Here is a 22,233-nt window from a genome sequence, read left to right on the forward strand (position 1 = left end):
TCTTTGTTTTTGTTTTTCTTTTTAAGACAGGCTCTTGCTCCTGGGCTGTGTGATCCTCCCACCTCAGCCTCCCAAGTAGCTGGTACTACAGGCATGTGCCACCACACTTGGCTAATTTTTTAATTTGTTAAAATTTTTGTAGAGATGGGGTCTCACTTGTTGTCGAGGCTCGTCTCAAACTACTGGGATCAAGCAATCCTCCTGCCTCAGCCTCCAAAGCTGAGATTACAGGTGTGAGCCACCATGCCCCGTTCTGTATATGCCACAATTTCTCTATCCACTCATCTGTCAATGGACATTTAGATTATTTCTACCTTTAGGCTATCATGGATGGTGCTGCTATGAACTTTCGTGTACAAGTTTTGATTTGAATAGCTGTTTTAAACTCCTTAGGGTATATAACTAGGAGTGAAACAGCTGAGTCATATAGTAATTCTATATTTAACTTTATTTTTTTTTGAGACAGAGTCTCACTCTGTCACCCAGGCTGGAGTGCAGTGGCATGATCTCGGCTCACTGCATCCTCTGTCTCCCTGGTTCAAGCAATTCCCCTGCCTCAGCTTCCCGAGTAGCTGGGATTACAGGTGTACACCACCACACCCGGCTAATTTTTTATTTTTATTTATTTTTTATTTTTTGTATTTTTAGTAGAGATGGGGTTTCACCATGTTGGCCAGACTGGTCTCAATCTCCTGACCTCAGGCAATCCGCCCGCCTTGGCCTCCTAAAGTGCTGGGATTACAGGCGTGAGCCACTGTGCCCGGCCTCTATATTTAACTATTTGAAGAACTGGTAAACTGCTTTCCATGGCAGCTGCACCATTTTTCATTTCCACCAGCAATGTACAAGGGTTACAATTTCTCTACATCCTCACCAACAATTGCTAGTTTTCCCTTTTTTGATTACAGCCATCCTAGTGGATGTGAAGTGGTATCTCATCCATGGCTTTGATTGCATTTCCTAATGACTAATGATGTTGAGCATCTTTTTGTGTGCTTATTGGCCATTTGTGTATCTTCTTTGGAGAAATGTCTGTTCAAGTCCTTTGTCCCTAACTCCCGCTTTGTTCAAGGGTCAACTGTAATTGCAAAATCCAATGTCATGAAGCTCTTGCCCTATGGTTTATTCTAAATCTTTCTTAGTTTTAGGTCTGACATTTAGGTCTTTTATCCATTTTGAGTTAATTTTTGTATATGGTGTTAGGTAAGAGTTCCACTTCATTCTTTCACATGTAGATATGCAGTTATCCCAATACCATTTGTTGAAAAGACAGGTTTTTTTTGTTTTGTTTTGTTTCGTTTTTTTGAGATGGAGTATTGCTCTGTCGCCCAGGCTGGAGTGCAATGGCACAATTTAGGCTCACTGCAACATCCGCCTCCCTGGTTCAAGTCATTCTCCTGCCTCAGCCTCCCGAGTAGCTGGGAAGACAAGCACGTGCCACCACACCTGGCTAATGTTTGTATTTTTTTTTTTTTTTTTTTTTTTTTTTTTTTAGTAGAGACGGCGTTTCAGCACGTTGGCCAGGCTGCTCTTGAACTCCTGACCTCAAATGATCCACCCACCTCGGCCCCGCAAAGTGCTGGGATTACAGGCATGAGCCACCACACCCGAGCCTATATGTCTGTCTTTATGCCAGTACCATGCTGTTTTGATCACATGGCTTTGTAATAAGTTTTGAAATCAAGAAGTGTGAGTCCTCCAATTTTGTTAGTCCCTTTTTTTTTTTTGAGATGGAGTTTCGCTCCTGTTGCCCAGGCTGGAGTGCAATGGCACGATCTTGGCTCACTGCAACCTCCGCCTCCTGGGTTCAAGTGATTCTCCTGCCTCAGCCTCCCGAGTAGCTGGGATTACAGGCATGCACCACCATGCCCGCCTAATTTTGTGTATTTTTAGTAGAGATGGGGTTTCACCATGGCCAGGCTGGTCTTGAACTCCTGACCTCAGGTGATCTGCCCACCTCGGCCTCCTAGAGTGCTGGGATTACAGGCGTGAGCCACCATGCCCAGCCTGTTAGTCTTTTTGAATAGTGTTTTGGCTATTTGGAGTCCGCTGAGATTTCATAGAAATTTTAGCATGGGCTTTTCTATTTCTGCAGAACACATCATTGGAATTTTGATAGAGATTGCACTGAATCTGTAGATCACTTTGTTGGTTTTTGTTTGTTTGTTTGAGACGGAGTCTCGCTCTGTCACCCAGGCTGGAGTGCAGCGGTGCGATCTCGGCTCACTGCAACCTCCTCCTCCTGGGTTCAAGTGATTCTCCTGCCTCAGCCTTCTGAGTAGGTGGGATTACAGGTGCATGCCACCATGCCTGGCTAATTTTTGTATTTTTAGTAGAGACGGGGTTTCTCCATGTTGGCCAGGGTGGTCTCGAACTCCTGACCTCAGGTGATCCGCTTACCTACTCCTCCCAAAGTGCTGGGATTACAGGAGTGAGCCACTGAGCCTGGCTCTAAATCTGTAGATCACTTTGGTTAGTATTCACATCTTAACAATATTAACTCTTCCAATTCATGAACTGGGATGTGTTTCCATAAATTTTTGTCTTCTTTAATTTCTTTCAGCAATGTTGTATAGTTTTCATTTTACAAGTCTTTCACCTCCTTAATTTAATTAGGGTTAAATTAATCCCTAAGTATTTTATTCTGTGTGATGCTATTGTAGATGTAATTGTTTTTATGTTTTGTGGGGTTTTTTTGTTTGTTTGTTTGTTTGTTTTTTGAGATGGAGTCTCACTCTGTCACCCAGGCTGGAGTGCAGTGGCACGATCTCTGCCCACTGCAGCCTCCACCTCCCAGGTTCAAGCCATTCTCCTGCATCAGCCTCCCAAGTAGCTGGGACTACAGGCGTGGGCCACTACACCCAACTAATTTTTGTATTTTTTTTTAGTGGAGTCGAGGTTTCCCCATGTTGGCCAGTCTGGTCTCGAACTCCTGACCTCAAGTGATCTGCCCGCCTTGGCCTCCCAAAGTGCTGGGATTACAGAGGTGAGCCACCACACCTGGCCAATGTAATTGTTTTTGTAATTTCCTTTTGACATTGCTCATATTTAATATATAGAAGTGCAACCAACGTTTGTGTGAGTCTAATGCCCTTTTTTTTTTTTTAATTTAGAGACGGGTCTCACTATGTTGCCCAGGCCGTAGTACAGTGACTATTCACAGGCGTGACTCCACTGCTGATCAGCACAGGAGTTTTGACTTGCTCCATTTCCAACCTGGGCAGGTTCAACCCTCCTTAGGCAACCTGGTGGTCCCTCGCTTCTGGAAGGTCAGCACATTGTTGTTGAACTTAGGGCAGACACCCAATCAGCAGAGCACACTACAACCCAGGACTTCTGGACTCAAGCAATCCTTCTGCCTCAGCCTCCTGAATAGCTGTGACTACAGGTGCACACCACCATATCTGGCTCTAATGTCTTTTAAAACTGACATTTAGGCAGGGCACAGTGGCTCACGCCTGTAATCCCAGCACTTTGGGAGGCTGAGGCAGGTGGATCACGAGGTCAGGAGTTTGAGACCAGGCTGACCAACATGGCGAAACCTCGTCTCTACTAAAAATACAAAATTAGCTGGGTGTGGTGGCGGGTGCCTGTAATCCCAGCTACTTGGGAGGCTGAGGCAGGAGAATCACTTGAACCCCAAAGGTGGATGTTGCAGAGAGCAGAGATCGTGCCATTGAACGCCAGCCAGGGCAACAAGACCAAAACTCCATCTCAAAAAAAATTTTTAAAAATAAAATAAAATAAAATAAAATAAAATAAAATAAAATAAAATAAAACTGATTTTCAGTCAATATACTTATTTTTAACCTCTACCTTTACCCCAGATGTATTATACCTGTTGCCACCAATTCCTGAGGGGGCCACCTGAAGTTGTCTCACAGCTCACTGGTGTTCTGTTCATCTGTGGGTTTTGGGTTTTTATCAGTCTTTTTTCATTTTTCCAATATTTTAAAAAATAAGAGACAGGGTCTCGCTATGTTGCCTAGGCTGGTCTCAAACTCCTGGGCTCAACTGATCTTCCAGCCTCAGCCTCCCAAGTAGCTGGGATTATAGGTGCACACCACTGTGCCTAGCTCTATAAATCATTTTTATACTTTCTACTGTTATGTCTTCAAGTTCATAATATTCTCTTCTGTAGTATCTAGTCTGCTGTTAGTCCCATTCACTGTACTTTTCATCTCAGACATTCCAGATTTCATTTCTGGAGGATAGACTTGGGCATTTTTACTTTTTATTTATTTATTTATTTATTTTTTGAGACAGAGTCTCTCTTTGTCACCCAGGCTGGAGTGTAGTGAAATGATCTTGGCTCACTGCAACCTCCACCTCACTGATTCAAGTGATTCTCGTGCCTCAGCCTCCTGAGTAGCTGGAATTACAGGTGTGTGCCACCACGCCTGGCTAATTTTTATATTTTTAGTAGAGACGGGGTTTCACCATGTTGGTTGGCCAGGCTGGTCTTGAACTCCTGACCTCGTGATCCGCCCGCCTCGGCTTCCCAAAATGCTGGGATTACAGGCATGAGCCACCGCACCTGTGTGAAAGAGGAAGTTTCTAAATTAGTCCAGGTTACAAAGCAAGATGCCCTTATGGCTTGGCTAATCCAGTGGTGCCAGAGGGGTCTAGCCCACTCAACCTTTGCCATGCCCAGTAGACAATCTCCCTGGAGGCCTCTGGGGTGTTGAAACAAGACCACATTTCAGCAGATAATTATTCTTCTTCCGGGGAACATCTCCTAACTTGTTCCTGAAATTTAGTGTAAATATCTGGGATACAAAGTTACCATAGGATGGGCACATGGCTTATGCCTGTAGTCTCAGCAATTTGGGAGGCCGAGGCGGGTGGATTACTTGAGGTCGGGAGTTTGAGACCAGCCTGGCCAACATGGTGAAACCCGTCTCTACTAAAAATAGAAAAATTAGCTGGGCGTGGTGACAGGTGCCTGTAATCCCAGCTACTTGGGGGGCTGAGGAGGGAGAATCGCTTGAACCCATGAGGCGGAGGTTGCAGTGAGCTGAAATCATGCCACTGCATTCCAGCCTGAGTGACAGAGTAAGACTCCATCTCAATACACACACACACACACACACACATACACACACACACAAAACAAACAAACAAAACCAAGTTACCATGGGCTGGCCACAGTGGCTCACGCCTATAATTAATCCCAGCACTTTGAGAGGCCAAGGTGAGCAGATTGCTTGAGCACAGGAGTTCGAGACCAGTCTGGGAGACATGGTGAAACTCTCTCTTTACAAAAAATAAAAAAGCTAGCCAGGCATGGTGGTGTGCGCCTGTAGTCCCACCTCCTGGGGAGGCTGAGGTAAGAGGATCGCTTGAACCGAAGAATTAGAGGCTGCAATGAGCTATGACGGTGCCACTGCATTGCAGGCTGGGCAACAGAGCAAGACCCTGTGTCAAAAAAAAAAAAAAAAAAAAAGAAAGAAAGAAAGAAAAGAAAAACAAGACAGTTGGCCAGCCATGGGCCCCATTATCCTATTTCCCATGTACCAGAAACAGCTGGCCTTGTAGAACAATGAACTGGTGTACCAAAAACAAATCTAGCCAGTATCCACGAGACCACACTTGTGAGGCTGCAACGCTCCCTCGCTGATAGTGATATGTGATCCTCACAGTGACTGAATTGCAGCGCCCAGTCTTCCTCAGTCAATAGAGAGGTCCAGAAACCAAGGGTTGCAGTTAAGGGGGACAGTGGGGAGTAGCTGTCACTATTATTTTTCTCTCTAAAATTTTTTTGCTGGCCGGGCACGGTGGCTCATGCCTGTAATCCCAGCGCTTTGGGAGGTGGAAGCAGCTGGATCACTTGAGGTCAGGAGTTTGAGACCAGTCTCGCCAACATGGTGAAACCCCGTCTCTACCAAAAATACAAAAATTAGCCAGGCATGGTGGTGGGCGCCTATAATCCCAGCTACTCGGGAGGCTGAGGCAGGAGAATTGCATGAACCCGGGAGGTTTCAGTGAACTGAGATCGCGCCACTGCACTCCAGCCTGGGCAACAAGAGCAAAACTCCGTCTCAAAGAAAAAAAAAAAGATATTTGCTTTCCACGCCCCAAGTCACTCATGCTCTGTGGTTTAACTGCCCAAGGGCAAGGTTCTTGCCAGGGAACCCAATAAGAGTTCTACCTGGTTATTTAGGACTCCTCCTGCCACCAGGGCAAAAGGTCTCCCCATGCTGGCTGTGCTCCCCCTGATTATGAAGGGAAAATGGGAGTGTTGCTCCCCAGTATGACCTGGGTGGAGTAGAGATGGGAGGAGGGTGAGCTCCTCAACGGCCCTCACACCACCACACCCAGTGGCAAAAATCAGCAGAAAACCATCACTATCTACATGAACGTTCTAATTTTTTTCACTCACTATTGGTGGTAGTTAAATTTACCAATTTGCTCAAAGTTGCAAGATGATAAGAAATAACCCTTGGCTCAGCTGGGCACGGTGGCTCACGCCTGTAATTCCAGCACTTTGGGAGGCTGAGGCGGGTGGATCACCTGAGGCCAGGAGTTCGTGACCAGCCTGGCCAACATGGTGAAACCCCGTCTCTACTAAAAATACAAAAAATTAGCCGGGTGTGGTGGTGGGCGCCTGTAATCCCAGCTACTAGGGAGGCTGAGGCAAGAGAATTTCTTGAACCTGGGAGGCGGAGGCTGCAGTGAGTCGAGATCGCACCATTGTACTCAACCTAGGCAACAAGAGTGAAACTCTATCTCAAAAAAAAAAAAAATGCTGAGCACGGTGGCTCACGCCTGTATAGCAGAACTTTGGGAGGCCGAGGTGGGCTGATCATGAGATCAGCAGATCGAGACCATCCTAGCTAACATGGTGAAACCTTGTCTCAACTAAAAGTACAAAAAATTAGCCGGGCATGGTGGCATGCGCCTGTGGTCCCAGCTACTCATGAGGCTGAGGCAGGAGAATCGCTTGAACCCAGGAGGCGGAGGTTGCAGTGAGCCGAGATTGTGCCACCGCACTCCAACCTGGGCAACAGAGTGAGACTCCATCTCAAAAAGAAAAGAAAAGAAAAGAAAAAAGAAATAACCCTTGGCTAATGAGAAGCTAGAGGAGGCATGGGCAGCACTTGGAAATTGTGAACTCTGCAATTCAGAAGGAATGTTTAGTAGGCTGAGATGCCCCATCTGCATATCTGGATGTGACGGTATTGCCTTCTTTTTTTTTGAAGAGGGGGGTGAGGGGGATAGAGTCCCGCTCTGTCACCTGGGCTGGAGCTATGCAATCTTGGCTCACTGCAACCTCTGCCTTCCAGGTTCAAGCAATTCTTGTGCCTCAGCCTCCTGAGTAGCTGGGATTACGGGCATGCGCCATCACACCGAGCTGATTTTTGTATTTTTTTTTTTTTGAGATGGAGTTTTGCTCTTGTTGCCCAAGCTGGAGTGCAATGGTGCGATCTCAGCTCACTGCAACCTCCAACTTCTGGGTTCAGGCGATTCTGCCTCAGCCTCCTGAGTAGCTGGGATTACAGGCATGCGCCACCATGCCCAGCTAATTTTGTGTATTTTTTAGTAGAAACGGGGTTTCACCATGTTAGCCAGGCTGGTCTCAAATTCCTGACCTCAGGTGATCCACCCCCCTCGGCCTCCCAAAGTGCTGGGATTACAGGCATGAGCCACTGCACCCGGTCTGGTGTTGCCTTTTTTTAGGGATGTTGAAATGCATGTGGCTGTGATAACTGGAGAAAAGGAACAAAGTACACATTGGGTGCCTAGGGTTTACTTCTGGGCCTGCTTCTAGTCTCTCTCTACATGCTGTACCTAAGCAACCAGTCCCATGGCTCTAAGCGATGACTCCTAAACCTACATTTCCAGCTCTGGCCTGGCCTGGAAATCCAGTCTATACATATCCACCTGCCTGCTTATCAGCCCACTGGATGCCTCACAAGGATCTCAAATCAACATGTCCAAAACCAAGCTACTGATTTCTGCCTATCAGCACCCCCTAACCCAGCAGTCCCCAACCGTTTTGGCACCACGGACCAGGAAGATAATTTTTCCACTAACCGGCGGGTGGGAGTTGGGGGATGATTTTGGGATGATCTGAGCACATTAAGTTTATTGTGCACTTTTTTTTTTTTAAACGGAGTCTCGCTCTGTCACCAGGCTGGAGTGCAGTGGCACGATCTTGGCTCACTGCAACCTCCACCTCCTGGGTTCAAGCGATTCTCCTGCCTCAGCCTCCCAAGTAGCTGGGATTACAGGCACGTGCCACCATGGCCAGCTAAGTTTTGTATTTTTAGTAGAGACGAGGTTTCACCATGTTGGCCAGGATGGTCTCGATTTCCTGACCTCGTGATCTGCCTACCTCAGCTCCCAAAGTGCTGGGATTAGAGGCGTGAGCCACCGCGCCTGGCCTGTGCACTTTATTTCTATTATTATTACATTGTAATGTATAACAAAATAATTATACAACTCACCATCATGTGGAATTAGTGGGAGCCCTGAGCTTGTTTTCTCGCAACTAGACGGTCCCATCTGGGGGTGATGGGAGACAGTGACAGGTCATCAAGCATTAGATTCTTATAAGGAGTGCATGACCTAGATCCCTTGCATGCGCAGTTTACAATAGGGTTCGTGCTCCTATGAGAATCTAATGCTGTTGCGGATCTGAGAGGAGGCAGAGCTCAGGCGGTAATGGGAGCAATGGGTAGTGGCTGTAAATACAGATGCAGCTTTGCTCATTTGCCCACCACTTACTTCCTGCTGCGTGGCCTGGTTCCTAACAGGCCACAGACAGGTACTGGTCCATGGCCCAGTAGGTTAGGCCCTGCCCTAACCTACTCCTCCTTTAGTCTCCCCTTTTCCTTTCCTTTTCTTTTTCTTTCCTTCTTCTTTCTTTCTTTCTTTTTTTTTTTTTGAGACAGTCTCGCTCTGTCACCCAGGGTGGAGTGCAATGGCGCGATCTCAGCTCACTGCAACCTCCACCTCCCACGTTCAAGCAATTCTCCTGACTCAGCCTTCCAAGTAGCTGGGATTACAGGTGCCTGCCACCATGCCTGGCTAATTTTTGTATTTTTAGTAGATTAAAGGGTTTCACTATGTTGGCCAGGCTTTTCTCGAACTCCTGACCTCGTGATCCGCCTGCCTCGGCCTCCCAAAATGCTGGGATTACAGGCATAAGCCACCACGCCCAGCCCATTTTAATTTAATTTAAACTTAAATAGCCACATATGATTAGTGGCTGCCGTATTGAAGAGAGTAGCTCTAGATTTTTGCTTTGGGCAACTAGGTGGCTCATGGTGCCATTAATTGAAAAATGGGGCCGGGTGCGGTGGCTCACACCTATAATCCCAGCACTTTGAGAGGCCAAAGCGGGCAGATGACCTGAACTCAGGTGTTCGAGACCAGCCTGGCCAACATGCTAAAAATACAAAAAATTAGCTGGGCATGGTGGCATGCACCTGTAGTCCCAGCTACTCGGGAGGCTGAGGTGGGAGGAGCACTCAAGCCCCAGGAAGTGGAGGTTGCAGTGAGCCAAGATTGTGCCACTGCACTCCAGCCTGGGTGACAGAGTAAGACCCTGTCTCAAAAAGAAAAAAACAAGAGAGAGAGAGAGAAAGCAGGCTGCCAGCCACCAGCCTGGACAACATAGTGAGACCCCTTCTCTACAAAAAATCAAAAATTAGCCAGGCATGGTGGTGTGCGCCTGTAGTCTCAGCTACCCTGGAGACTGAGGTGGGAGGATCACTTGAACTGGGGAGGTTGAGGCTGCAGTGAGGTATGATTGTGCCACTGCCCTCCAACCTGGGCAGCAGAGCAAGACCTTGTCTCAAAAAAAAAAAAAAAAACAAAAAAAACAAAACAAAACAAAAAGAGGCCGGGTGCGGTGACTCACGTCTGTAATCCTAGCACTTTGGGAGGCCAAGGTGGGTGGATCATTTGAAGTCAGGACTTCAAGACCAGCCTGGCCAATATGGTGAAACCCCATCTCTACTAAAAATACAAAAATTAGCTGGACATGGTGGCACGCACCTGTAATCCCAACTACTTGGGAGGCTGAGGCAGGAGAATCGCTTGAACCTGGGAGATGGAGGCTGAGGTGGGCGGATCACTTGAGCCCAGGAGGTCCAGACCAGCCTGGGCAATATAGTGAGACCCAATCTCTACAAAAAATTTTTAAAAATTCGCCAGGCATGGTGGTGCACAGCTGTACTCCCAGCTACTTGGAAGGCTGAGGTGGAAGGATCACTTGAGTCCAGAAGGTTGAGGCTGCAGTGAGCCATGATTGTGTCACTGCACTCCAGCCTGGGTGATAAAGCGAGACCCTGTCTCAAAAAAAAAGTAATTGTTTTAAAAATGGTGACCAACCCAATCTGAAGTACCCAACAGGTGGCCAGGCATTGTGGCTCATGCTTGTAATCCCAGCACTTTGGGACGCCAAGGCGGGAGGCTCACTTGAGGCCATGAGTTTGAGACCAGCCTGGCCAACATGGTGAAATCCTGTCTCTACTAAAAATACAAAAATTGGCCGGGCGCGGTGGCTCACGCCTGTAATCCCAGCACTTTGGGAGGCCAAGACCGGCGGATCACGAGGTCAGAAGATCGAGACCATCCTTGCTAACACGGTGAAACCCCGTCTCCACTGAAAATACAAAAAAATTAGCCAGGCGTGGTGGCGGGTGCCTGTAGTCCCAGCTACTCGGGAGGCTGAGGCAGGAGAATGGCGTGAACCCAGAAGGCGAAGCTTGCAGTGAGCCGAGATCGTGCCACTGCACTCCAGCCTGGGCGACAGAGCGAGACTCCATCTCAAATAATAATAATCATAATAATAAAAATACAAAAATTATCTGGGGGTGGTGGTGGCCGCCTGTAATCCCAGCTACTCAGGAGACTGAGGCATGAGAATTGCTTAAACCCAGGAGGCAGAGGTTGCAGTGAGCTGACATCGTGCCACTGCACTCCAGTCTGGGCAACAGAGTGAGACTCCATCTCAAAAAATTAAAATTAAATTAAAAAATTAAAAAAGTACCCAAAAAGTCTTTTCCAAGATGTGATTTTAATTCTCTGCGTAGGATTTATTACTAACTGGTGATTCTTTAATTTGTGTATTGTTTGCTTCCCCCTACTAGAAACTAAGCTCTATAAGAATATTTTGTTTGATTGCTTCGCTGCTGTATTCTATTCCCAGTGTCTAGAACGTGCCTGAAACCTAGCAGACACTCAGTGTTTGTTAAATGAATAATCGAATAATAGTCCACCTACTAGGAGGGTTAAAGGCAGGGTTTCTAAAGTTGGAAGACCCAGAGTGGAATCCTGGGCCACGCACTCGTGTGATCTGCCGCAAGTTGTTGAACCTAAGGGTGTAAAATGGGGATTCCACCTCTGGGATAGGCGGAGCGAATGAAATGACATTTATAAAGCACTCCCTTCGCTCTGTGGCTCAGGAATTAGAGCACTGGTCTAGTAAAGCACTCTTGCTCCCTCTCCCTCTCTCCCTTAAGCGCTCTCTTCTTTCCCCCTCCTGCTCAGCCCCTCACATGGCCACTTCTCTTCGGCTTTGCATGACACTCTACACAGTCTAGAGTAAGCCTTTGAAATTTGCCGGGAATTAACGTCATCAGTCGGGAGGACGACAGCTACGCACGCGCGGGGCACCTCCTCTGTCTCGCGCGCTAACTTTGCAGCCCCGCCAGCCAATCAAAATTAGCGTCGGAGCCCGAGTGCCGAGGACTCACCAATCGGAACTAGGAGGCGGGCCACGGTGGAGGCAGCGGCGAGAGGGGGCGGGGACAAGGAGAGGGCACGCACGGTTCTCGCTGCTGGGGTCTCTGCCGGCCAATAGGAGAGGCCTGAGGCCTGAAGGCGGTGGGGCGGGGCATTGGCGGCTCCAGCAACCGGAGGCCGTCCCAGGGAGGGCCAATCGGAGTAAGGAGGTGGGAGAAACCTAGCCAATCAGTGTGCAGGACGGGCAAGGAGGGTGGTGGACGGCGAAGTCTCCTGCGGATGCCGCCCGCTCCCGAGCTTCTGTCAGGGGAGCCGGGCGTGCGGAGGCGGCTGAGGAGGCGGGAAGGCGGCAGTGGTTGAAGGGGTGATTGCTGACTAGCGGGGAGGGAGTGGGCAGCGATGGTGATGGCGGCGAAGAAGGGCCCGGGCCCGGGCGGCGGGGTCAGCGGGGGCAAGGCGGAGGCGGAGGCGGCCTCGGAGGTGTGGTGCCGTCGGGTGCGGGAGCTGGGTGGCTGCAGCCAGGCCGGGAACCGCCACTGCTTCGAGTGCGCCCAGCGCGGGGTCACCTACGTGGATATCACCGTGGGCAGCTTCGTGTGCACCACCTGCTCCGGCCTCCTGTGAGTGACCGGGAGGGAGTGGCCGAGGTCGGCGTGGGGGGACCCGGGGGCGGGGTGGGGAGGCCGGGGCTCCGGGGCGCGAGGGAAGGGGGCCGAGGTGAGGGGCGGAGGGGAGGTCAGGGAACGCGCCGGCTGTGGGGACGGGGTCGTCTGCTGCAGCGGTGTGGTGGGGAGGGGAAAGGGCAGGGGAGAGGAAGCAAGGCCGGAGTCGCTCTGCGGAGAGAAGGGTACGGGTGCAGAAAGACGCCCGGAGAGGGACCGAGAAACTCCCCGAGGGGGTCGAGGCAAACTGCAAGTGGGGAGGGAGAAAGTGCGGAGGATGGAAGGGAACTCGGAGTGGGATGGGGTGTCGGGACTTAAAGGGCCAGAAAATGACATGCACCTTTAGAGGGAACTTCATGCAGGTGGAAAGCAAAAAGGAAAAAGGTGGGGAAAGCCGGCCTGGAGATGGACGGGCACCTTTCTTCCTTCGGGCTTGTGTCCCTGCTGGAGTGTGAGATGCAGAAGCCAGCTGAAACTTGGTTGAAATTCCTATGATTAGAGTACAGGATTAAAAAAAAAAAAAAAAGCGAATTAACCCCGATTGACAGCCTAGAGATAGTGGCTGGAAGGGAGCCATGGTCCAGAGTTCAGGTGTAGATACTAATCTTAGCAGGGCTTTGAAATGTTACCCAGAAGGTAAAACTCTTACGAAATCTAAGAGATGAGAGCCAATGGGTTACCCTGGTAGAGAGCTTAGCTTTTTCAAACGTTTGCACGTCTAGGTGAGCCATCCTGAAGGTTAATCATTTACACCTTTAAGATCCCTGTTGCCATGACTGGATCCTGGTGGTAGCATCCAGGAAACTCTAGATTTTGGGGGGGCTTTGGTGCATCATCTGAGTGCTACTCTTGGCATTGGTACTGTTCGGTCATGCCAGAGTGAATTTACAGCCACAATTCTAGCCTAGATTTCTGGTTATATAGTAAAGCCCCCTCCACTCCCCTCTGCACTCCTCCTACTCCCAAATTAAGATATTATTTGGTTAGATGCATGATTAACATCTGATATCAGGCCTGGATCTCTGTTTTTTAATAAGTTTGTCAAGGGATTTATTTTGACAATTTTTTAGTCTTATTTTAAGACACTGTTGTTTTTGTTTTGTTTTTTAAAAAATGCTTTCCAGCCAGGCGCTGTGGCTCACGCCTGTAATCCTAGCACTTTGGGAGGCCGAGGCAGGCAGATCATGAGGTCAAGAGATCGAGACCATCCTGGCCAACATGGTGAAACCCCATCTCTACTAAAAATACAAAAATTACCTGGGTGTGGTGGCGCGCACCTGTACTCCCAGCTACTTGGGAGGCTGAGGCAGGAGAATCACTTGAACCCGGGAGGTGGAGGTTGCAGTGAGCTGAGATTGCGCCACTGCACTTCAGCCTGGCGACAGAGCAAGACACTGTCTCAAAAAAAAAAAAAAAAAAAAAAGCTTTCCCTGTCTTGATACCTTTAGGAGCCAGGGAGCGAGCACTATTGTTCTTGCAAGACAGATGGGAGAACAGAAGCAAAGAGAGGTTTCGTAACTTATCCAGTGCCATATGGGCATTGCGGTTTCCAACATTTGTTGTTTGATATTAGTGATGATCATGGCAGACCAGCAATGAGGATTTAGTTTTCTCAAGATACCGTTTGGAATTATTTACTTCGTTTTAACCTCCTTTGCTAAACTTCTCTCTGGGTTCTGATCAACCTCACTTGTGGGTTGTAAGGATGAACTTGACTTTGGTCTAAGTAAAAGTCATCGTGGCTCTTGGGATAATGATTGAGAACCCAAACAGTAATGTGTCATAAACTGAGATGGACTGAAATGAAGCAAGAGGATAGAGACTCGAGAGTGGGTGAAGAACTCTGGGGAGAGATTGAGCAACGTTTAGGAGTATGTATAGGGGTCGGGCTCGGTGGCTCAGTATGTATAGGAGGCCAAGGTGAGCAGATCACTTGAGGTCAGGAGTTTCGAGACCAGCCTGGCCAACATGGCGAAATCTCATCTCTTACTAAAAATACAAAAATTAGCCAGGCATGGTGGCAGGTGCCTGTAATCCCAGCTACTTAGGAGGCTGAGGCAAGAGAATTGCTTGAACCCAAGAGGTGGAGGTTGCAATGAGCCGAGATCGCACCACTGCACTCTCCAGTCTGGGTCGCAGAGCGAGACTCTGTCTCACAAAAAAAAAAAAAAAAGGAGTATGTATAGGGTAAAGTAGAAAGAGAAAGAGCTGATTCCTGAAGATCCTGCTATGAGAAGCAGAAGGATGAAACTGATGGATAAAATTGAGTAACTGGGAAGTGCTGACATTGTTATCATTATTTTGTAGATCTTTGTTAAAGTGTCCCACAGATAACATTTCCCTTATAATACCCCTCAATCAGGACACAAAGAAAGCTAAGGTATCTGGGACACGTTAAAAACCTGGTTTCTTTTTTCTTTTTTTGAGATGGAGTCTCACTCTGTTGCTTAGGCTGGAGTGCAATGGCGCGATCTCGGCTCATTGCAACCCCTGCCTCCTGGGTTTAAGCAATTCTCTTGCCTCAGCCTCCTGAGTAGCTGAGACTACAGGCACGCGCTACCACATCTGGCTAATGTTTGTATTTTTAGTAGAGACGGGGTTTTGCCATGTTGGTCAGGCTGGTCTCGAACTCCTGATCTCAAGTGATCCGCCCGCCTCGCCTCCCAAAGTGCTGGGATTACAGGCGTGAGCCACGGCACCCAGCCTGCTTAGCTTTTTGGTAAAGCATTATGAGACTAAACCAGGGAGTGATTCTCACAGAGGAGGATTTAGAGAGCATATTTTGGTGTTTGGGAAATGAGAAGCTAGACCAACCCTTTGTTAGTAGGAAATGAGAGTGAAATGAAAGATCAAGAGGTTAGGCCAGTAAATGAAGCTGAATTGAAGGTATGTTGAGAGTGAGAAATTTCAGGAGAAACTCTGCAAGAAAGCTGGAGTTTCCCTATAATTAGCATGACAAGGGCAAGGCATATAATCCTTGTAAAGGGGTCTTAACACAGTATTACCTGTGTCCCTTTGATATGCTGTGGGAAGGAGTGGGAGCTGGCAGGTGGGCTGTAAGGCAGAATGTGAGGCAGGGGATGCTTATTTCTGGAGGCATGGCTCCATGGTGGCACGGAGACCAATTAGCATCTTAAATCCCCATGATTGATTACCTGTAGATTAGGGTTTGGTGTTGGTGGGAAGTGAAAATTGTGGTCGGCTGACAGCCTGCATGTTTATTCATTCGGTCAGTCAACACGAACTTATTCAGTGCCTATCAAGCGCCAGACACTGTTTTAGGTACTGGAGATACAGTAGTGATAAGTTCCCATTTTCACGGAGCTGACATCCTAGTGGAAGCCATGGACTATAAAGAAATCGTTCTGTATTGCTAAAAGCTATGAAGTAAAATGAAGCTCTGTGGGTTAGAGTGATACCAAACTGAGGTATGATGCAAAGAGAAGAAATATTATTATTAATTTTTTTTTTTGAGATGGAGTCTCGCTCTGTCGCCCAGGCTGGAGTGCAGTGGTCCGATCTTGGCTCACTGCAACCTCCACCTCCTGGTTTCAAGCGATTCTCCTGCCTCAGCCTCCCCAGGTAGCTGGGATTACATGTGCACACCACCACGCCCAGCTAATTTTTGTATTTTTAGTAGAGACGGGGTTTCACCATGTTGGCCAGGCTGGTCTCAAACTCCTGACCTCAGGTGATCCACCTGCCTTGGCCTCCCAAAGTGCTGGGATTACAGGCGTGAGCCACTGTGCCTGGCCTCGAGAAGAAATATTCTTTGTTAAAATGAAGAGGATATTGAGGGAAGAAATTGAAATACCACATTAGCACCGTAGCCACAGAAAGGAGACAGCAGGATGACATTATTTTAAAGGCCAGTTTTCTGTTCAGTGGGTTACAAATATGTCTCCTTCATAAGGGGATAGAGTCGTCTGGGGGCAGTGAGCAAAATTACTAGAATTCCCAGCTGGTTGGATTGGCCGATGTAGCAAAGTTGATGGTTCCAGCCAAAGTTGAATTTCCTAAGATCTGAAGAAAAACACACATTTTAATATTGGTGGGTGGGTATGACTCTGCCTGCATCCCTGCATGTATGAACTCATTCTTGTTCTCTCTTTTTTAATGAGAAATATTTTCTCAGCTGTAGCAAAAACCTACAGCGTTGGTGTGAGGGGTTGAGAGAAAGGCTGCTAGTTTCTGCTGTTCCTAAATTTACATACATACTGCCACAATTGTAGGTCCCACACCTGACCTAGTTTTATTCATTTGGTTTTCTTCCAGTACCTAATTTCCTTAACCTAGATGTGGATCTGTTTAATTTCCCCAACATACACATATGCTTGTTTGTTTAGTTACATTTCTAATTCTTGGAGGATGAATCTGTCATTTGAATCTTAAGACGTGGTAAAAATTGCTGCTAAAAAGCATCTATTTGCAAAGCAGTGCTTTAAATGTTCTTTCTTGTTCTGGTTTGCCTGAATGCGTCTGTGAATGAACCACTGTTCCTCAGAAAGAAAATGGATGTTGAGGCCTGAGATCTCATTGACACAAGGATGGACGCTAACTTTGACACCCAGTTTTTTCAGCAAAGTATGACATATTTCCTTGATGTGGCTGTTTGGGTCCATCTTCAATCCATCGTTCTTCAGGTGTTTGTAATAGACACTTATCTCTTCTATTTCTGCCCAACTTTACTGTGATCACAGGAGTCAGAATTAAGGTGGGCAGAGCTCTGGGCTGGGTGTCAAGAATGCACTTGACAGCTCTTTATTTGTGACAAGTTCCTGCCCTCCTTGTGCCTTACTTTCCCTGTCGGGCTTGCTGGTGGTTCTTAGTTGAAGCATTTTAATCTCCATGGGAGGAAAGGTACAGTATGTTCTTCAATAATTCAGTACTTTTCCATCTGTCTGGGTTGGAGAGGTACACATGTACCTTGCCCCTGTTTTAGTCCCATCCCTCCATCCCCTCCTCTGTCACCTTTCATGTTGACCTCTGCTGGGCAGAGGTGGACAGAGTCTCTCACTAAATTACAGATGTAGGTGCTGTTTCATAAGGGGTGCATGAACCACTTGAAAAGCCCCGAAGGAAGTGATAAATTACTAAAGGGATGAGAAAAAGCTCGACGTGGGGTGGTGGGCGGGGGGGTGGGGATGAGAGAGGTGAGGGCAGAGGGAGACATGTAAAAAAGATTGAGGTTGAGCCTAAAGGGAAGGGCGGCTGGATGCTATCAGGAGTCTACCTGGCTCTAATCAACAGGACAGCTGTTTATCATTGCTGCTGAGGAGGAACAAAGGAAATGGGTTGAAGCAGAATTTAGATCAGGAAGAGGGTTCCTAAAATTAGTGAAATTGACCCTGGAGCAGGGTAATAGGAGAGCCTTCCTCTTAGGGACTATTAAAAGTTCCTAACAGGGACTCTTCATGGTGATGTTTGCATCCAAGATAAGAGCTAAACTGGTTTAGTTGTATCCTGTTCAGAAGCAGAGGAGTGAAATCCCAGAGCAAAGAAACACGATCTGGGGTGTATGAATCTGAACACAATTGTTCAAAGGCAAGGATTTCCCAAGTCCAAATTTGGCACAAATGAAAAAGAACTTGGGTGCTGGGTGGAACTGGTTTTTTTCCATTGTTGACCTGGCAGAACTTTCTTATCTGAGCAGCTGAGCAGGTTTGATGCTTTTATGAAGCAAGATAGAAGCAAAAATATGGGCCAGCATGAGGGTGATGATCACAGAAAAACAAAAGGTGTGGTATTTGTGGAAATAGTACTATGCCTAATGGAATCAGAGAGGAGACGGGAGGGAGGGAAAGAGAGAGGACTGGGCAGTTGTTAGCAGCTACACATACAAGTGGCTTCAGCTGCCAAATAATTCAGAATACTTCATATGCCCTTTAGGTGCCCTGTGAAAAAGAAACTGAAGTGGATAAAGACAACCTGACTGGCTGGAGGCTTGAGTCCTAGTAATAATGTACTTTCCATTGGAAAAACTTACTCTATTCTGAGAAAATAAATTGATCTCTGTTCCTCCCCAGCACTTCCTGGTTAGAAATACCAGAATGAATTTGCTGTGATTACCTCTTTTGGGAGGAACCTGAGAGTTATGTTGGGGAGCTGGGTGCAAGTGGGAGAGCTGGGCCTGTTTAATTCCAGGCCAGTGACTCACATCTGGTCCGCTGCATGACCCTGGTGTGTACCCAGTGAAATGCAGCACACCTAGGCCACATGGTTTTAGCTACCAGGAGGAAGGGGGCTCTCGTTTCTAAATTGCTTCTTTTGGCCAGCAGTGGCCTCTCTGTGATTCAGAAAGAAAAACTCTGACTCATAGGCCATGTAACTAGGCCCCCTTCCTAGGCTGCAGTGTTGCCTTGTAGAGAATTCTCCCTGCCCCCAGACTGTGGCTCTGGTTGTACAAAATCCAGTCTACAGACATCAAGGTCAGAGCAATGCTTTTTGTACTGTGCTATGGAAACATCCTGTTCCATCAGATTCATTTGGCCCAAAGCACCTAAATCATTTCTTATTTTCTCTGCCTTCCCATCATCCTGTCACGTCTGCCGCCCCCCCCGCCCGCCACCCCCACCAAAAATAAACTCTTTTAGTCCAGGCTCAACCATAAGTTCTGTTCTAAGCATCCCATTTTGATTGATGCCTGGGTTGAGTCCTGCCTCCTCCCCCTAACAAGGAAGCATACCTCCCTGTTTACAGTTCGCTAACAGTTCCTGGTTATCCATTCAGGAAATGTCAATGACCTTTTTGTGATAGGCTTAGAATCTGTTTTTCTAGTGTAAACATAATACATTTTACCTTCCCCATGACTGTTTCTCTTCCTTCCGCAACTGCTGCATCCTGGAGTCACGTTCTCCCTGATCCATCAGTGCCTGACTGAATAGCACCCTACTGCAGTAAGAAGTACCTTTGTCCAGGCTTCCTGGGTTCTTCTTGTGAGCTCCTGGTGATAAGATAACTCTGTCCTATAATTTTTGTATCCCCCACAGTGCCTCCCATAATGCCTTGTGTTTTGGCAAAGTAAATTTTGTTTGTAGGAGGTGAAGGAGAAGACCTTTGAGATCACAGGGACAATGAGGTCTGGCTAGACTTCAGAAAGCCCTGACATTCTGAAGGGGAAGGGCCTAGTGGTTAAGGTGAGAAAGTCTAAAAGCAGGCTGGCTAGAATTAAAAGCAAAACCAAACCAAGCCATTAGCAAGAGAGGCCTTAGGAGAGAGAATGGACTATCTCTGAAATGTGATCGGAAGACAGTCTTCGGGGCAGACCAAGCTTAAGAGCTATTGTTTGATATGTAGTAACAAAGCCTTGCTTTCGTTTTTCCCTGAGCTTATCTTTCCTTGGGGGCATCAGTCCTCTTTGATATTGCTTGTCTTTTATAAGAGCATTTTTGAGACCCTTTATACCTAAAGGTCTAGCAGCAGAATTGCTGCAAACAGCGTCAACTGGAGCCTCCAGTGTCCTGTCCTTTGTTAAAATCCCATAATGAGTAATTTATCATCCGCAGGGTGGCCGCCCTTACTGTTCACTCTGTACTGAGTCCGCCCACTCCCTGCCCCCCACCCCCACCACCGCTGCTTTTGCTTACACCTCGCTGCTGTTCTCCCAGACTTGGCAGGAGCACTTGGATTCTGTGTGTGCACCTGTTAGTGTGAATGTATGTTTTCCCCACCTTCTTTGTGAATTTTCAGGATTTTCATCTGTTAAATATTTTTGTCTCTTTTTCCCCCTTTGCGCTTCCTGAGGATGTCAGCCAGGACCCTATTCTGGATTTTTATTTGAGCAACTCGATTTGGCCATTTTTTTTTTTTCCATGAGAGTAAAAGTCTGAAGAGGCCTCATCTGCTGAGACTGCTTCCCTCCTGTCCCAGGATCTAGCTTGTTTTGGTTTGGGCAGTTTTGTTTAATCCAGTGAGGGTAGTAGACCTAGACCAGAATAATACTTAAGGTGCAAGGACAGGGGAACCTATGAAGCCCTGCCTGGCTTAGCCCCAAGTTTCCTGTATTAGAACACTCCTGAGACCAGTTGAGTGGGGACAAGGAAGCCTTCTCTTCTCTTATAATCTCCACAGGGTTCCTGGAGGCAGAACTGGATTCCCAGGGAGTTAACAGAACATACAGAGGAGGCACAAAAGCATTGCCACAGGTTACATATTCCTCGCCCATGCCAGCCTTATAGCTCATGGTTGAACTTGACTTCTTCCTGCTTTATTGAGAGATACAGAAATAAGAAAATCAAATATTTCTTTTCCTAGAGATGGCTTCCTGAAAGAGAGGGACCCTCTCCATCCCACCACCACTCCACCCTTCTTTGTAGACACAAGGAGGACCAGCTGGGCTAGAGACTGTTTTTTGTCACCATATCCTGTTTTTGTTAGTGTTATCAAGAATAGTACTGGGCCTTCATTTTTGCCTTCCCTCATGCTTGAAGGATTTGTGTTTTTGTGGGCCCTGGGACCTTGGGGATGGGCTGTAGGTCTAAAACAATGATAAAGTAGGAAGTGGGAAGTGGTCACGTGTCTGAGTTCCCAGAAGTACCCCCCTCGGCCTACAGGCTGAACACTGAAACTACTGGGATCTGAGCCAGGCTAGAGGAGGCTTCTGGATGGGCAGGCTCTACCTTTCCTCTCCAGAACTACTGGGATCACAGGATGTTCCTGACTCTCTCTTCCCTGTCTCTTTGGAGATTCTTTTTTTTGGGGGTTGGAGGGGGGTGGTGGGAGTGGGGACAGAGTCTTGCTGTTGCCCAGGATGGAGTGCAGTGGGGTGATTTTGGCTCACTGTAGCCTCTGCCTCCCAGGTTCAAGCGATACTTGTGCCTTAGCCTCCTGAGTAGCTGAGATTACAGGCGTGCACTACCATGCCCGGCTAATTTTTGTATTTTTAGTAGAGACAGGTTTTCACCATATTGGCCAGGCTGGTCTCGAACTCCTGGCCTCAAGTGAGCTGCCTGCCTCGGCCTTCTAAAGTGCTGGGATTACAGGTGTGAGTCACTGTGCCTGGCCTCTCTTTGGAGACTTCTAATATCTCCAAAATATTCCAAATATTTCCCTTCTTTCCTGGAATTAGGAAGTAGCTTCAGATGGGGGGGTTCTATCTGAGCTTAGTTTATATGCTATTCTTTCACCCTTTCTCCCTCCTCCTCCTCCTCCCATGAACAGCCTGCCATGCTAACTGCATTATACTTCTCTTTCTTCCTGTTTCTCTCCCATAGGAGAGGGCTGAACCCCCCTCATCGTGTCAAGTCAATCTCCATGACAACTTTCACTGAGCCTGAAGTAGTATTCCTGCAATCCCGTGGAAATGAGGTGAGCTGCCACCGATGGAGTGGTGAGAAGGTCACCTATCTGCAGGTGGGGCTTTGCCTCAAGATTGTAGGGAAACCTTACGGTTTTATTTTTGGTTGAGTTTCTCTTAATTTTTTCATATGTATGATTTCTTTCCTTAGGTATATTTACAGAATCTTTATTCTGTTATACAAATCATGGTTTGTCTAGGCCTCCTTTTCAGGAGTCAGGGGAAGTAGCAATATCGTTGTAGGATGTGGCACCTGAGCAATGGAGGGGTAGAATGACCAGAGCTCCAGAGCGTGAGCATTCAGAGTTGACTGGGCCAGCCCCTCTGAGGAAGCTTTCCTGGAGCCAGCTCTGCTGCCTTCAGCCTCGACAACCTGGATTTAAGTGCATATCTTGTACTGGAAAGTGACTTAAACCCCTTCCCTAGCTAAATCTGCCGATCAGAAGTTGCTATCCTTGGCGTTAGCAGTACCCCAGCTTATGGGTGATTGGTTTACTTAGAGGGTATCCTCAAGGGCCTCTGGAGGTGTCCTGGAAGCCAGAGCTCTGAAAATTGTCCTGGACCCTACCCTTAGTGAAA

At 47.6% G+C, this 22,233-nt stretch overlaps 1 protein-coding gene, 1 long non-coding RNA gene and 1 pseudogene across 4 annotated transcripts in view, besides 7 other annotated features; 1 reads left to right on the forward strand and 2 right to left on the reverse strand.

The window, feature by feature from the left end:
* Positions 355-484: an enhancer, noted in NCBI's record as "active region_26370". NCBI's record gives its function as "activates an Ori minimal core promoter by ATAC-STARR-seq in GM12878 lymphoblastoid cells {active_cell/tissue: GM12878}" and the evidence as "EXISTENCE:reporter gene assay evidence [ECO:0000049][PMID:35858748]".
* RN7SL416P (RNA, 7SL, cytoplasmic 416, pseudogene) lies at positions 3,112-3,409 on the reverse strand (annotated as a pseudogene).
* Positions 6,083-6,427: a transcriptional cis regulatory region, noted in NCBI's record as "candidate enhancer chr7.3530 targeted for multiplex CRISPR interference". NCBI's record gives its function as "positively regulates VGF gene expression with high confidence in K562 cells {active_cell/tissue: K562}" and the evidence as "EXISTENCE:mutant phenotype evidence [ECO:0000015][PMID:30612741]".
* Positions 11,303-11,804: an enhancer, noted in NCBI's record as "NANOG hESC enhancer chr7:100136176-100136677 (GRCh37/hg19 assembly coordinates)". NCBI's record gives its function as "activates a minimal SCP1, AML or CMV promoter by ChIP-STARR-seq in naive H9 embryonic stem cells {active_cell/tissue: H9 hESC(naive)}" and the evidence as "EXISTENCE:reporter gene assay evidence [ECO:0000049][PMID:30033119]".
* Positions 11,303-11,963: a biological region, named in NCBI's record as "NANOG hESC enhancer GRCh37_chr7:100136176-100136677".
* Positions 11,684-11,963: a silencer, noted in NCBI's record as "silent region_18441". NCBI's record gives its function as "represses an Ori minimal core promoter by ATAC-STARR-seq in GM12878 lymphoblastoid cells {active_cell/tissue: GM12878}" and the evidence as "EXISTENCE:reporter gene assay evidence [ECO:0000049][PMID:35858748]".
* Positions 11,953-22,233, forward strand: part of AGFG2 (ArfGAP with FG repeats 2) — a 29,018-nt gene continuing 18,737 nt past the window's right edge. For 2 of the 3 annotated variants that reach the window (XM_005250306.3, NM_006076.5), the window contains exons 1-2: positions 11,953-12,317; positions 21,572-21,665. In XM_005250306.3, coding sequence (XP_005250363.1) covers positions 12,097-12,317; positions 21,572-21,665 — 315 coding nt within the window. In that variant the 5' untranslated portion in view covers positions 11,953-12,096. Of the gene's footprint in view, positions 12,318-19,180; positions 19,256-21,571; positions 21,666-22,233 lie in introns of those variants that run through there. The other variant, XM_047420307.1, reaches the window with a different exon arrangement.
* Positions 12,014-12,313: a silencer, noted in NCBI's record as "silent region_18442". NCBI's record gives its function as "represses an Ori minimal core promoter by ATAC-STARR-seq in GM12878 lymphoblastoid cells {active_cell/tissue: GM12878}" and the evidence as "EXISTENCE:reporter gene assay evidence [ECO:0000049][PMID:35858748]".
* Positions 14,868-14,957: a silencer, noted in NCBI's record as "silent region_18443". NCBI's record gives its function as "represses an Ori minimal core promoter by ATAC-STARR-seq in GM12878 lymphoblastoid cells {active_cell/tissue: GM12878}" and the evidence as "EXISTENCE:reporter gene assay evidence [ECO:0000049][PMID:35858748]".
* Positions 16,217-19,246, reverse strand: LOC124901708 (uncharacterized). Its single transcript, XR_007060453.1, has 2 exons — positions 19,158-19,246; positions 16,217-16,382 (listed from the first exon to the last, which is right to left on the reverse strand). It is a non-coding gene; the product is annotated as an uncharacterized LOC124901708 (long non-coding RNA).

The sequence above is a fragment of the Homo sapiens genome, chromosome 7 (genome assembly GCF_000001405.40).
Source record: "Homo sapiens chromosome 7, GRCh38.p14 Primary Assembly".
In the NCBI taxonomy this organism is placed as follows: domain Eukaryota; kingdom Metazoa; phylum Chordata; class Mammalia; order Primates; family Hominidae; genus Homo; species Homo sapiens.